This window comes from Homo sapiens, chromosome 1 (assembly GCF_000001405.40).
Source record: "Homo sapiens chromosome 1, GRCh38.p14 Primary Assembly".
Lineage (NCBI taxonomy): Eukaryota > Metazoa > Chordata > Mammalia > Primates > Hominidae > Homo > Homo sapiens.
In genome coordinates this window covers 221,468,059-221,484,661 of record NC_000001.11, presented here as the reverse complement: position 1 = coordinate 221,484,661, position 16,603 = coordinate 221,468,059, and the positions used below count along the sequence as shown (strand labels likewise).

Sequence of the window (16,603 nt, the reverse complement as noted above, 5' to 3'; positions counted from 1 at the left end):
ATAGATGTCTTTGAAATCCTACTAATGAAAGAACTGAGAATCTGGGTACTGGCCACTCTGGATTCATCGCTAAATTCTGCCTGTTTTCCAAATAAGCAGCCTATCTCTTGCCCTGCACACTTTCATAATCATTGCTAGTATGCTAAAAATCTGCTTATCCATTTCCTCTTCTAGGTTAAATCACAACTTCTCTGAGAAATGACAACAGGACTGTCCTTTGGCCTTCACACTCCCCATACTATAAGTACTGAGTGCTCAGCTCATGTAGATGGTCTATCTTCTGATGACTGCTAAAGTCAGGTCATTGGCGATGCCAGCTCTGGGGTAGGACAGGGGCAAAACCATACATTGCCCTTGAAGCTATATCCATCAAAGCCCTCTATTTACAGAATCATAGCCTGAGATGAGCACTAAGAGAAGCCACCAACCTACTCATTTACCCTTCCTGCTGACCTGGGGTAGTGAGGGGAATAGAGAAATGGGATAGAGAGACATGCAAGAAGTATACTCTAGAGTTTTTTGCCATGGTATTCTGTGTTTTCATAGATTCTATATTTGTCCATTTGACATTCATTAATTATAGGACCAAACTAATGGCCAAACATATTTATATCTTCCTGGTGATTCAGTTTTCATAGGTGCATGAAAATCATATTCTAAACCATCCAAACAATCCTGGATCTATACCCATAACCACCTTCTTTAACTTTTACATACCAAGACAATATTTCCCCTGCCCTAAATCAACCACGTAGGGCCTAGTACTAAACAACCAGGGACAGTCCCTATGCCCCAAAGCCTGCTGAAATTATTCAAACTAACGTATCTTAAGCTGTTTCCCCTGCCCTGCCTTGCTTTTCCCATGGAAACCTCACTAAAGGCTATAGCCTTACTCCCACTTCTCCTGTCAAACCTGGTGCTTCCCGTGAGGCCCTGCACAGCACACCATGCCTTCTCTCAGGAACTGTAAAAGCAATAAATTATTTCTGTGGCATTTAACTCTCCATGCTGTCACTCAGTCACCTTTATAAATTAAGACCCAGGCACACGCAAATTAAGTCCTATGAATGAGTCAAGTAGCTCATTCACTTAAGTCTAAAACGAAGAATAAAACCCCAGGTTCCAGAAGAGTACCAGCTGCACCCTGCTTTGCTTCCTCCCCAGCGACCTGGAAGGCATGTACTTACAGCAAAAGTCACTAACAAGCTAATGACATCTATGTCGCATTTTATATAGCTTTAGTCTGCTGCCCAATATTCTAGTCCTTTCAATCCAAATCTGTCAATTTCACACACACAAAAAAAGGGCTGAGGTTAAGACAGTAAGAAGACAGAAATTTTGTTCTTAAATTGATGCTTGGGGCCTGAGCTCAAAAAGTTATTTCCTGCACAATTGATCACCCCACCCTGGTCAACTTGTCAGGCAATAGCACTAATAGAATGAAGGGAATGTTCCTGGGGCAGCAGTGGGAGCAGAGGCCCATGAATGAGAGGATGGTTTAGCATTCACTCAAGATTCTCACGGTATTTTTACATATAGGAAAGGTGAGCATGCAGACAAGACTAAATTCACAGTTAACATGTTTAGTCTTGGGTTTGTGTTCTACATTATAGTCTTAAGAAGCTATTCTCTTTGCAGTTTATATCCCTGGAAAATAATAATGAATACCTAGAGACAATGATTGCTACGAATGCTGGGGGAAAGCTCAGTAACCTGACCTCACTCCACATGAAGATTCTCAGACTTATATAAAACGAGACAATTGTCTTCTGCCCTTTCCCAGGTGGTGATTTGAGGCCTGATAATATCTGCAGGTTTTTTTTAACTTTGATTTTAATTTCAGAGGTATGTGTGCAAGTTTGTTACATAGGTATACCCATGTCACAGGGTTTGTTGTAAAGATTATTTCATCACCCAGGTATTAAGCCTACCACCCATTAGTTATTTTTCTTGATCCTCTCCCTCCTTCCTCTGGAAGGCACCAGTGTCTGTTGTTCTCTATATGTTCATGTATTCTCACCATTTAGCTCTCACTTTTAAGTGAGAACATGTAAATATCTGTGGATTTTACCAATGATATTTTGTAAGAAAAGGTCCAATTTTAGGCATAATTGGAGTTGAGGGCATGTGGAGGATGGTAGGATGGAAAAGTGTTTGTAAAACCTGCCCTCAGAAATAAAAGCTGAGAAAGTAAAAGTGGCGTTTTAATAGCCAACTCTGAGGGAGCCTGAAAAACAAAACTGGGTCCATGATTCTAGACTGCATTACTTTTCCATAATTGAATAATTCCCAGGAGTCAGATGTAGGTTTGAATCCTGGCTCTGTCACTTGCTACGTGACCTTGAGCAAATTGCTATGTCCTCAAATCCTCAATCTGTAACATAGGAATGATAACACCCTTTACAGGAGACAGCAATGTAAAGCACTTCACATTGTTTGTACTTGATAAATACAGTTGATCATTGAACAACACAGGACTAGGGGTGCCGATTCCTACACAATAGAAAATACACCTCTAAATTTTTACTCCCCTCAGACTTTAATATTAATAGCCTACTGTTGACCACAAGCCTTACCCATAACATAGTCAATTAATACATATTTTATATGTTATATGTGTTATATACTGTGTTCTTATAATAAAGTAAGCTAGAGAAAAGAAAATGTTATTAAGAAAATCCAAGCAAGAAAAAATATATTTACTATTCATTAAGTGGAAGTGGATCATCATAAAGGGCTTCATCCTCTTTGCCTTCACATTGAGTAGGCTGAGGAGGAAGAGGAAGAGGAAGGGTTGATCTTATTATCTCAGGAATGACAGAAGCAGAAGAAAATCCACATGTACGTGGACCCGCACACTTTAAACTTGTGTTTTTTAAGTATCAACTGTAGTCCTCACTATTATTTGCAATTTTTAAAATGTTTTCTGTTTCTTTGTGTTCTTTGCCTTTGAACACAGAAAGGTGTTCAAAGAATTAGTTCCTCTCTGGGCTCCAGCTTAGAAACTGTACTTTCAAATATCAGCTCTGGAACTTGTGGGCTGGATGGTTTGGGGAAATTGATGTAACCTCCTCCTCACTCCTTGTGCTCCTTGTTCCTGTAAAAAGGGAATAATGCTATTCCAAATGTTTTGGGAAGACCAAAGGCACTAATACGCATAAAGTACTTCCACTGTGTCTGACTTCTCTTGGCAGGTCACTCACCTCACTGTCCCTCAGTTATCTCCCTTCTAACAAGTGGATAATGGTGTGCTTACTTCACTTAGGTGTGTAAGGAGTTTAACTGACTTAGCATGTGTAGTAGACCTAGAAGAGTCCTGGGACATAGGAAGTGCTCAGTAAATGGTGGTTATTTATTACAGTAAGTGCTCAGTAAATAAGAGCTAGTACTGAAAAGGAAGATGATGATGATGATGGAGAAGAGAATGGGTGAATTCTCTGGTGCCTCTTGTAAAGAGAGCTGTTCTGGAATGTGACAAAGGTTTGAAACTGAGCAGTATATGTTCTTCCTGTGGAGCTCTTTGCTGAAAAGTCCCACAATGTGAATATTGAGAGGCTGACCACCAGGAGCGCGGGTGAGGTGGTGAGTTCAGTAATTCAATTTAGAGAAAACATCACTCTTCAAATACTTCCTCCAAATCTATTATTCCTCTAGTCCCTGCTTCAAAGTTGCAATGAAGTCATTCTTGACTTTCTTGGCTTTCACCCTTATCATTTCATATTCAATTTGTCACTAGGCTATATAATTCTACCTCAGAAGTTTCCCGAAATTTACTCTCTCCTCTTTTATTTTGCTTGAATATGCTCAGGGTCTCTAACAGCTCCCTTTCAGCCACACCAGCTCTTTACAAAGATCTGTCCCTCTCAGTTGATTGTACAGACCCTGCCCTGTCATCTGGCATGTCCCCTCCATGTCATCTTGCCCCCATGGCAGAATCTCTGCCATGTTCTATGCCCACATGCTGGGCCCTGTTCTGTGCCCGCCTCCGCATCCCATGTCCTTGCAACAGCAAATTATTTTTTGCTTCCCCAGTGATACAGTTTGGATGTTTGTCCCCTCTAAATTTCATATTCAAATGTAATTTCCAGTGTTGGAGGCAGGCCCTGGTGGGAGGTCTTTGAATCTTGGGGGCAGATCCCTTATGAATGCTGAGGGTCGACCCGTTGGTGATGAGTGGGCTCTTGCTCTGAGTTCACATGAGGTCTGGTTGTTTAAAATTGTGTAGCACCTTTCCTGTCTCTCTCTTGCTCCCACTCTCACCATGTGACACTCCTATTCCCCTTCACCTTCTGCCATAATTGGAAGCTCCCTGAGGCCCTCACCCTATGCAAATGTTGGTGCTTTGCTTCTTGCATACCCTGCAGAGCCATGAGCAAATTAGACCTCTTTTATTTATAAATTTCCCAGTTTCAGATATTTCTTTATGGCAGTGCAAACACACTAACACCTTGAGGTTATGACAGGCTGGATGAAGACACTGGTTCTTCTTGGCCTGTCCCCAAAGCCACAAGCCAGTTTTACCCACTTCTAAATCCAAGGTTTCCTATTAGGAATTCAGCTTCTGCCAAAGCTGTGGGCCCACGCCTGCGTGCCTCTGTTGCTGTTTCATCTTTTATCTTTCCAAATTACTGTAACTGTTTCCTCACTAGTTTCCAGGGCCTCAGTTTCTCCCCATTCCAAGCGTTATCTACTCTGCTTCCAAAGTGAATGTCCTGTTTTAAAACCTCCAGCATCCACTGACTTCTCACTTTCTGGTGAGTTATCTGCTGATCCCGCCACTGCATACAAGAGCCGTCTCAGTCTCTTCTGACCCCCCGACACACTAACTTTCTTGCCATTTCTGGAGTATGCTCATCGCTTTAGGCCACCCACCTTAGCACACACTGTTTGATCTTTTCTGAAAATCTTTCTTCTACTTGACTTCCTTGCAGGTTAGTGGATTTCCCATTAGCTCAAATGTCTCCTCATTTTAAAGCCTTTCCTGACTCTTCCAGAAAGAATAAGGCTTTTGCTCTTCTATGTCCTCATAACTTTCTGTTAATTTTGCCTTTCAATATTTATTTCATTATACAATTATTTTAATTTTTGCACTATTTCATTCAAAAATACGTATTGAGTGTTTACCGAGAGCCTGGCACTCTTCTGAGCTAAAGGGACAGAGTGAAAAACACAACAAACTGTCCATGCCCTCAGAGAGCTCACATTCTCGGAGAGACAGACAGTAAATATGTGACAAACAAGTAAACAAGGCATGTAAAAATTGTGATAAACACTCAGGAGAAGATAAACAAGATTAGGTATTAGTAATTAGGGAAGGGCATCTATATTGATAGATGCAGGCTGTGAGGGTAAATTTTATGTGTCAACTTGACTGGATCACAAGGTGCCTGGATATTTGGTTAAACATGACTCTGAGTGTGTCTATAAGGGTGTATATGGATGAAATTAACATTTGAATCAGTAGACTGTGTAAAGCCTCATCCGATACATAGAAGGCATAAATAGAACTAAAAGGCTGAGTAAGGGAGAATTCTCTCTCTCGACTGCCTGTCTTCAGCTGGGAAGTCAGTCTTTAATGTCTTCTGACTGGGGCTCTGAGTTGAATTACACCATCAGCTCTCCTGGGTTTCCAGCTTGCCAGTTGCAGCTCTTGGAACTTCTTGGTCTCCATAATCACAAGATAACATACCTATAGCTATATCTTTATCAATATCTTCTATTGATTGTTTCTCTGGAGAACCCTGACTAACATACAGACTTAAGGAAAGTCACTCTGAGAATATGGCATTCATGCTGAGCTCTGGAGAATGAGAAAAACAAAGCAAATAAGCCCTAATATGAACCAGAAAAAAAATTCTAGTAAAATGAAATATGAGAGCAAAAGCCTGAGGCTGAAAAGAGCCAGAGAGAAGGCAGTTAGCATGAGATTAGATTGGAGAGGGAAGCAGAAATCAGGTCATCTGGGTCTGATTGGTAAGGAAGGAGCTTCAATTCTTTCTCCAAAAGCATTGAAAAAGCAGAATAACTGTCCTTCAATAAATATTTGTGTGACAAACGAGTTAATGGATATATAGTTATTTTCCAAATGGTGAAAGCAATTTGAAAACTCTAAAAAGGATGGCACTATTTTTGTCCCTATTCCTTGATAATTTTCATTTAAAGGGCCCTGGCAGTAGGGTAAAAGGGAAGGATGCTGATAAAAGTTGGCTCTGTCGTATCAGAACAGCAGAGGATGATGGATGTGCACCCTCCATACGAATGAGTTTCCTGACATTTTTGCCGTTTGGGGTTTTTATCTGTTGTTGCAGAATATGTGTGCACTAATGCAGACTACATCTACCAAATATCATGAGCAATGAATCATCCGCTCAGCAAGGAACGAGTAAACTTCACCTCCTCCCAGGAAGCTGGCTGCAGCTTTGCACAAGAGCACCCTCTTCTGTGCAGTTGCAGCCCCAGCCTTCAGAGAGCAGGAGCGATGGCCTTGTGCAGTCCCACTGTGATCCCCATTCTAAGGGAAGCACAGCTATGCAATAAAAAGAAGTCCTTATTAGTTTCCTTCTTTGCCTCCACCCTTCAGAGGATCACGTAACACCAAATTCCTTTGGAATTATCTAGGAAGGTGGAAAAGACTAGGGAGTAGAGTTCGAGACACTTTACTGAAAGGGAAAGGAAATAGCTTTCCACCCAGTAAAATTCTACTTCATTACCTAACATTACAGGGATTTTCCAGGATGCTCAGGTAGACCAGCTCTAGAAACTAGGGAAACAACGTGATGTCCAGAGTCCACCGGGCAGAGAGATGCACAGAGATTTAAAAAGAGGGACATTGTATAAGCTCAGCACATGTAGCAGTTTGTGTTTTGCTTTGTGTGTAATAACTTTAAGTCAAGGGAATTGGGGCTCTAGTATAATTCTATACTGCTTTAAGTACAGTTCTTTAAAGCAGAATCCCTTGTACAACGGAAAACTAACTACAATTGGGGACCTGGCACATGGAGTTCACCTAAATATTTATTAAACAAATAAAAATATTGGCTTCCCATGTCTTTCAGGGGAGGGAAATATTGAGCCTTGTCAGCCATTCATATCTTATTTTACTGGTTATTTCAAGTAACTATGGCCACAATAACATTGCATATAAAACAGCCACAAAATCTCGGGAGCATACAAAAATGCATTTACGCAGCTTGCAAGTGTGCTGGTTGGCTCTGCAGTACTGTTGGTCTCAGCTGGGCTCATTCATGCATCTGCAGCAGGCTGGGGTCAACTGGGGGGCTGCTGATTTGGGGTGGCCTCAGCTCTGGTGGTACAGCTCCACTCCCCATGACTTTTATCCTCCTCCTGGGATGAACTGTCCGTTCTGGGCATATTTTTATCCATAGCAATGCCAGAAGTTCAAGAGTGTAAGTTGAAGCATGAAGATACTTTTCAAGGCTGCTGCATCATGGACGCTAATATCCCACTGACTGAAACAATTCACATAGCCAAGCTCACCATGAATGGAACAGGAAATTCTGTTCTTCCAATGCAGTTATGGGAAGGGAGTGAATATTTCTGAACATGAACTTGATCTTTCACTCAGACTTTTCTTGTAAACCGAGTAGAGGCAGGACAAGTTAGCATGTGCTGTGAAAAGACCCCAGGACACAGAGTCCTGGGCCCGGCCAATTGAATCAATGCCTATTAGTCCTAAAAAGGACCATATGAGGTTGGTAAAATTCACCTCATTTTGTAGAGGCAGAGGCTTAGGCTGGGAACAGACACAGAAAATCACTTAAGACCATTGAATCAGGAAGTTGTAGACTCAAACTTGAACCCAGAGCTATCCTGTCCCCAATCCTATGCTCCTCTCCACCGTATCTCAGGAGCTTCCCCCACCAAGTTGCCCTGACTGGTCTCAATTTTGCTCTTTAGATCAACATAGAAGAAATTTAGCCTCTTTTCTAGAAGTCTGTCTTTCATGGTTTTGGAATCAATTCCCCTGTTTTCTTGACAAAAATCAAGCATACCCGCCTTCCTGCCCTTCTTTCCAGCTCTGTTTCCCCAGAACACTTACTGTCCTGAGTGTCTGAAGATTGTAAGGATGAGGGTGATCATTGGCCCTGGATTAAAATATTCAGGGAAAACTTTACTGAAGGAGCAAATTTTAGAATGAAGACAGGTGACAAGTGACAAAATACACACACACACACACACGAGAAGTAATTAAGGCATTTGACTTGTGCTAAAAAACAAGATGAAGACTTGGGGAAAGATGAGCAGATCTGGTTGGTGAATATCAAGTTGTGTTTTTAGACACACTGGTCATAACATGCCAGGATATTCAGCTGAAAGAGGCACATTTTAAGAAAGAAATAGAAAACAGAAATATTTAGAGCTGACCAATTAGAATGATGAGAAAACCCAAAACAATACAACTTGAAGAATATTTGAACATGCTCAGGGTCTTCAGCTGGGGAAAGTGAAGATTTAGGAGCAAGAGCTCTGCTAAAACATGTTAAAAGTTACCACCTTGGAAAATAGACTGGGGTTCTAAAAGGCTAAACTAATACTTCAGGATAGAAATTAAATATTTCCACTCAACTCCATCATTACAGCAGGAAACATCAGAGCTGCCCGACGTGGCTCAGATTTCCTTCGATGACAGTAAATCTGGCTGAAGTTTTATGGAAAGGGTGAACTATCACTTCATAGAGAAGTAGTCAAGCACACTGAAATTGGAGAACAACTTGGACTAGTTGAACTTTAAGATCTTTTCCAAATTTAGAAATTCCATTAAATGGAAGGAAATAGTTTTTATTATTAATAACAAAGTATAATAACAATAAGAGCAATTCCTTAATATTATATTATGCTTTGTAGTTTATATTATGCCATCATATGCTTGAAACAATTGTGAGGCAGGTAGAATAGGTATCTTATTTCCATTGCATTCAAGGAATCAAGGCACAGAGAGTTAAGTGATTTCCCTATGGACACACAGAATGTGGAAGAATTAAGATGAGCACTCAAGCGATGCCTGTATATCATCCTGGCAGTGCCTGTATATCATCCTGTTGCTGCCAAATTTGATCATGAGGAGAAAGTTGATGACCATTCTAGACACTGCTGAAGGAAGGAATAGCTGATTACAGGAAGATCAGCAAAGACTGTGTTAAAAGGGCTCAGGGTCATTTTTCCTTTTATTATCTAGTAGGAATATAACCATGATCCCCAACAAGCCAGGGAACATCCTTGTACAACCACACACTTTACAAGGGCTTTGCTTTGAATCTTCCCTGAGACATCACAGGAAATGGGATTCCTTGTGATACAACTCAGTTCAAGGCAAGTAAATCCATTTGGCAACGTGTTGTTTGACAAATTTTAAAATAGAGGTTTGATTTGCTTTTTATAGTTACCCCTGTTTTCACCATTGAGGACAGTAACTCCTCAAACTTTTGGGCATATAATATGTGTGTTTATATATATATATGTATAATTTGGATATATATATGTATAATTTGGATATATATGTGTATATATGTATGTGTATGTATATATGTATATATGTGTATGTATATATGTATATATGTGTATGTATATATGTATATATGTGTATGTATATATGTGTATGTATATGTGTATGTATACATACGTGTGTATATATGTGTATGTATACATGTGTATGTATACATACGTGTGTATATATATACATATATACATATATATCCAAATTATACATATATATATCCAAATTATACATATATATATATAAACACACATATTATATGCCCAAAAGTTTGAGGAGTTACTGTCCTCAATGGTGAAAACAGGGGTAACTATAAAAAGCAAATCAAACCTCTATTTTAAAATTTGTCAAACAACACGTTGCCAAATGGATTTACTTGCCTTGAACTGAGTTGTATCACAAGGAAGCCCATTTCCTGTGATGTCTCAGGGAAGATTCAAAGCAAAACCCTTGTAAAGTGTGTGGTTGTACAAGGATGTTCACTGGCTTGTTGGGGATCATGGTTATATTCCTACTAGATAATAAAAGGAAAAATGACTCTGGTCCTTTTCACAGTCTTTGCTGATCTTCCTGAAATCGGCTATTCCTTCCTTCAGCAGTGTCTAGAATGGTCATCAACTTTCTCCTCATGATCATATTTGGCAGCAACAGGATGATATACAGGCACCGCTTGGGTGCTCATCTTAATTCTTCCACTTACTTTGTGTCCATGGGGAAATCACTTAACTCTCTGTGCCTTGATTCCTTGAATGCAATGGAAATAAGATACCTATTCTACCTGCCTCACACAATTGTTTCAAGCATATGATGGCAAAATATAAACTACAAAGCATAATATAATATTAAGGAATTGCTGTTATTATTATTATATTTTGTTATTAATAATAAAAACTATTTCCTTCCATTTAATGGAATTTCTAAATTTGGAAAAGATCTTAAAGTTCAACTAGTCCAAGTTGTCCTCCAATTTCAGTCTGCTTGACTACTTCTCTATGAAGTGATAGTTCACCCTTTCCATAAAACTTCAGCCAGATTTACTGCCATCGAAGGAAATCTGAACCACGTCGGGCAGCTCTGATGTTTCCTGCTGTAATGATGGAGTTGAGTGGAAATATTTTATATATATATATATATATATATATATATATATATATATATATATATATAAATAATGCATTCTCACGTTAGGCTGTATAGAAACATCTACAGAAATTTATCCCCTTACTCTCCCTTCCCTCCACACTCTCTTCCCTGCAGCTCACCATGGGGCTGGACTAGCAGTAAGCAAGGAAAAGATGAATTCAGCTCCTTCTCCACCCACTGCTGTCAGCCTTACACCGAACGCTAATTTTCCTTCTGAAGTGGAGGGCTCTTCACTCCCCATCTCCAGTGACCTGCAGCACTCTGAAGCCGGGACGCTGAGACTCATTCCGGACACTCGTTCTCAGATAATTTTTCAGCTCCCTATCAGCATTGAACAGCCTTGACTTCCCAGACTGAAAGAAGACTAATTAAAATGACAAACCTCACATTGATTTATTACCACATGGGTGAAAACAATAAACAACCATGACATTGCTAATGTGTTTGGTTCTTGCTCCCATCCCTTTCCCCACCTCCCACACCTGCGTTGTGATGGAGGCAATGGGGAAGACGGTGATAGTGCAGTGAGTTCTCTCTGCCCTCTCATCCCATGAGATAGAATATGGAAGCCCCTGCAAGGGCATCCCAGGTTAGACATGACTAAGGGCTTTCTCACACCTCCTCTCTTCCAGTCCCAAGGGCAACACAGGGAGGCGGTTGTTATCATCTGCATTTCACAGATGAGAAAACCGAGGTCTCCAGAGGTTAAGTGATTAACTTAAGGTCACATAGCTGCTAGACAGATTATTAATTAAACTCGATCACTTGAAAGGACCAATAATTCTTTGCTCTTTAAAAGCATTGTTTTTTAGCAGTTAAAGTGCTTGAGCAGTAGCTACATAGCAAACATTTGGTGAACATTGACTGTATGCAAAATGCTGCTCTCAGGGATAAGAGGTGAGAAAAATGGACCAAAGGGAGCCCTCTTCAAAGAAGGAGCAGGGTACTCAGGGGAAACCCCCGATATAACTTTGAGGTCCCCAGTGACACTCCATGCCAGATGTGTCTGGCACGAGGGACCAGAGGCGTCTGATGCCCTAGTGTGCTGAAGTATAAGCTTGTATTGTTTAACATCATTCTTTCATTTATTCATTTAGACCCTCTCTTGAATCATTCCTTCTACTGCTTCCATCTCATTTCTCTTAACTCATGGCAAAATCCCCAGAGTATGATGCACATCCTTCCAGGCTCCTAGTTTTTTGTAATAAGTACTCTTTAGGCCAGGTGTGGTGGCTCATGCCTGTAATCTCAGTACTTTGGGAGTCTGAGGTGGGCAGATCACCTGAGTTCGGGAGTTTGAGACCAACCTGGCCAACATGGAGAAACCCCATCTCTACTAAAAATACAAAATTAGCCGGGTGTGGTGGCACATGCCTGTTATCCCAGCTACTCGGGGCTGAGGTAGGAGAACTGCTTGAACCCAGGAGGCGGAGGTTGTGGTAGGTTGAGATCACGACATTGCACTCCAGCCTGGGCAACAAGAGCGAGACTCCACCTCAAAAAATAATAATAATAATAATAAGTATTCTTTAGTAACAAGCATTTACATTGTGCAAAGTCAGGTCTCAGCACGAGAGTCCGTTCCACAGATTGCCTGTGACCAGCCAATCTAATAGTTCTCACATGGCACGCTAAATTCTCTCTACATTCAGCCTGTTTTATTTTCTTTATAGCATTTACCACTCTCTGAAAGTATCTTATGGTTTTGTTTATTAGTTAATTACCTGCCTCCCCTTCTATAAGGACAAGTCTTATTTATTGTTATAAGCCTAGGACCCAGAAGCAGCTAGAATGTAGAAGGAAATTAGGGAATACTTGTTGAATGAATGAATAAACAAATATCCTCACTCCATCTACAAATTAATCACTCTCCATAGTGCTATTCAAATCTACTTATCGAAAATCATCAGAGATTTTTCTATCACACATGCTACAATTCAGTCCCGTGAAGTTGCTTAAGAATTACAGATAATATGTGTAAACTACCTAGCATAGGGCCAGGCACATAGTAGGCACAAAATGCAAGCTACTATAATAATTACTTAAGGAGTAAGAAATATTTACGTGCTCCCAAGACCTTAGTGCTATTCTGAACACTATGAAATGTATTTAGTAAAGAAAATTAAATTACATATTGATAACAACCATTATATTAGGTGCTGAGGTTAGAGATCCACGTTATAAACCAGTATTCTGTGCATTTATAACCTACTCAAGTTAAAACCCACATGAAAGTTAAATATGTATTGAATAATTGAAGAAGCATTTGCTTAACAGGATAGTATAATAATAATTGTTATAACTAACATTTATGGAATTCTAGCTTTGTGAAAGTACTTTATACACAGGATCTCATTTAATTTTCACATCACTGTAGGAATTATTACAATCCCTCTTTTATAGATGATGAAAAAAATTGAGGGAGGCGATGTCATTTGAGAGGTCGCAGAGATGGAAAATGAATTAGTTTGGACGGAAACTTAAGCCCAAATGTCAATAAAGCTCATTCTTTTTAGCTCTTATTTAATGCTGGCATAATAAAATGCTAATCTGTGTGGTGTTGATCATTTTGAACAAAGCATATAAGATATGGTGCTAATTTTTCAAGTTCAGAGGCAGTGAATTTGAGCTACTCTGAGCTGCGTAGTTTAGAAGACTGGTCAAAGACTGATGCAGCAATGGAGTTCCACAGGGATTGTTCCAGGAGTGTGTTTGGAGGATGGGGAGGGTGATGGTGGAAGGTGGTTCCTGCAGTGAAATATATTACACTTCTCCCATTAGGTCTATACCAGTACTGATTTTCCCTAGGGCAATGAAAGTCAGGTGCATGGTTTAGAGCTATTATGTAGAGGAATGAGAGCTTACTGCAAAATCCACTTTAGGAAAGACCCTTCCATGTTCTTTAGCAGGTGTTCACATTCTCGATCATGTGTTTAACGCCTGACATGAAGGCATGTTCTCTTTCACATGAGAACTTACTGGCCTATGGTCTTGAATAGTCAGCCTTTACCGAGTTGGCTCTGAACTTTTGCCTGACACCATGATTGAAAGACTTATTAATTGAATAACAGAAAGCTTGTTATTTCGACCTCCTTTTGAAAATGGGAATGGAGCATAGGAAAGATGTGAATACCTTTGAAAGGAGCAAAAATAAAATAGAGATGTGACCTGGGAAAGGCTGATAAATAATTTGAAAAGTGCTCTTCACAGAGTTTCCAGACGAATTGAGATTCTGATGCCACACTGTAGACACTGCATTTTTGTTTGCTGGAAATAATTTACTTACATAAGTGTAACAAATTCTTCCTCCTTAGAACAACAAAAACATGTCTGAGAAGGCCTGTGGCTTAGTTAGGATGGATCAAGTAATTTTTACCTTGTATGAGCAGGGCAGGAATTTGCAAATGTTGACACATCATGACATTTCACTGAAAGCCAATTAACAGGGAAAAACAAACATATACGTTGCTTTGGTGATTATCAACTGGTTGGTATTGGAGTGGATCAGTTTAAAATCTTCAGCCTTAGATTATGCTGATAACAGTTAATCATGTCTATTGGTTAGAAGGGTTAGAAGCGTCCGGAATGTACATTTGTATATGGCTGAGTCAGAGGTGGAAGACAGAGCACAGAGAAAAACACTTTAGAAAAAGACTTGATAAATCAAGCATTGCCATGCTCAGCTCTTTTAACCCAGAGTGAGAGGAATATCAGCAAAAGGGTAAATTAAAATAACCTTTCTGGTGGTACCTTCTATGTACCTGATTCTCACTGGGAAAAAGAATGACTCAGATCAGGAGTAACTGGAGACTGTGATCCGCAGGAATGAATTATGTTCTCTTCCCTCCTTGCTCCCTACCCACCTGCCAAAAAATGAAAGGTTGCTTCTGTTAGGTGCTAAATGATCTTCCGAGCCTCCGTCTCACTCATGAGTTAAGCCAAAGTAGCATAAGAAATTTCCTACCTCAGAGATATACAGAATTGAATAAAGTACCCTGCCCTTAAAGAGGAAAATGAAACCACAAGCCAATGATTATATTGGAAGCAATCTTTCAGCATCAGGGAAACTCAGCTCCCCAAAATGCACATTCTCCCTTCCTCCCCTATTCCACCTCATCTCTTTCTCACTATTTAGAACCTATGGTTCATGAGACAGTATAACAAACTTAAAATTATCTTGGCCCAAGGTGGAAATAAATCCACAACCACTAAAAATGTATACATTTAGCCCATCAGAAGAATTATTTCCCCAACATTCTTTCCGAAAAGAATTGCTCTGCCACAGGGCACAGCCTCCACGCTTGTGGATACAATGTTTCATCTTTGACAAACGTTACCATCTGGTAGGCATCCCTTAAAACCAGCTGTGCATAGTGCAGCAGAAATCTGTACCTCTACAGTCCTCCTCTCTCTTCTGCAAGCCTCAGTGAATCCCATGTTTGTTTTATTACAAAAATGATGTTGGTTTCTTATACTAGATATAAAGACAAATAACATTTGCTCTTCAGTGTGAAATTGGAACTGGAATAGACTCCAGTCTATTTCCTACTGAGTCCTTCTCGTCATTATCTTAAAATATTAGTTTTCTTTTTCAAAATAAAATTGTGTGTGTGTGTGTGTGTGTGTGTGTGTGTGTGTGTGTGTGATCTTCACTTAGAATGTCACTGGCTGGATCTATCAGGGCAAAATCTGGACCCCTGCCCTCAACTCTCATTCAGGACAAGCAACAGAGAAAAGCCAGTTCTCTAATTTTCATCATGGTGTAGTAATATATGATCCCATGTGTGTCCTGAGATTATTCTAATCCTAGCTGAAAAGAGCCCTTGGGAACCAGGTGGGTATTTATGCCAATCCACATCCTGCCTAAAGTATGTGAAGAGTGGGAGAGTGATTTCAATTTCATTTTACTGAAAAAAATTAACATATTCTTTGATTAAGCAGCATAGATGAAGTTTCAACCATATATATTGGATTTGAAGAAAAAGTTGGGAAGAAGGTATGTTTTTTTCTCTACCACTTCTGTATAGTCTTAGGAATCTTCTCCACTTGTTTTATTAATTAATAAAGAAATTCCATCTGCGCTGTTGGTGACAGACTGGGCGACTCCCAGTCACTTCTCGTTGCCATTTGACTTGGCTGTTCTATAACGGAGGAAAACACAAGAGCAACAGGCTGTAATCGATTTGTGGAAAAGTGCTTAAATTCCTCCACAAGTTGCACACTCCAGCTGACACATACAAAGGAATCCATGTCACAGCCATTCTTATAGTGGCCAATTTATGACATAATGACAAAGTATAAGAAAATGTGCTGATCCAGGGCTCTGATCTAAAAGGCATTCAGCAAAGCCTGGTAGCTCCACTGGCGGGCTAGACCCAGAAGAGAAATAATAATCACTGCAGTTTGGTTCTCAGGAAGCACCACCCCTAGGGGAAGGGGGAGAGCACCACATCAAGGGAACACCGTGTGGGACAAAAGAATCTGAACAGCTGCCCTCGAGCCCCAGATCATCCCTCTGACATAGTCTACCCAAGTGAGAAGGACAGAAAAACAATTCTGGTAATACGACAAAAAAGGTTCTTTAACCCCCCCAAAAGATCACACCAGCTCACCAGCAATGGGCCCAAACCAAGACAACATCTCTGAATTGCCAGAAAGAAAATTCAGAAGGTTGATTATTAAACTACTTAAGGAGGTACCAGAGAAAGGTGCCTACCAACTTGCAGAAATTAAAAACATGTTACAGGATATGGACAGAAAATCCCCCAAATAAGTAGATAGCATAAATTAAAAAAAATCATGACTTCTGGAAATGAAGGACACACTTAGAGAAATGTAAAATACACTGGAAAGTCCCAACAGTAGAACTGATCAAGTAGAGAAAAGAACTTCAGAGCTAGAAGACAAAGCTATCAAAATAACCCAATCCAACAAACACAAAGAAGA

The 16,603-nt window shown here is 40.0% G+C and overlaps 1 long non-coding RNA gene across 1 annotated transcript in view; it reads right to left on the bottom strand.

Moving 5' to 3' along the window:
- Positions 1 to 14,444: 14,444 nt before the first annotated feature.
- Positions 14,445 to 16,603, bottom strand: part of LOC105372932 (uncharacterized) — a 166,214-nt gene continuing 164,055 nt past the window's right edge. The window contains exon 4 of the long non-coding RNA XR_922621.2: positions 14,445 to 14,520. This is a non-coding gene — a long non-coding RNA (uncharacterized LOC105372932). The remainder of the gene's footprint in view (positions 14,521 to 16,603) is intronic.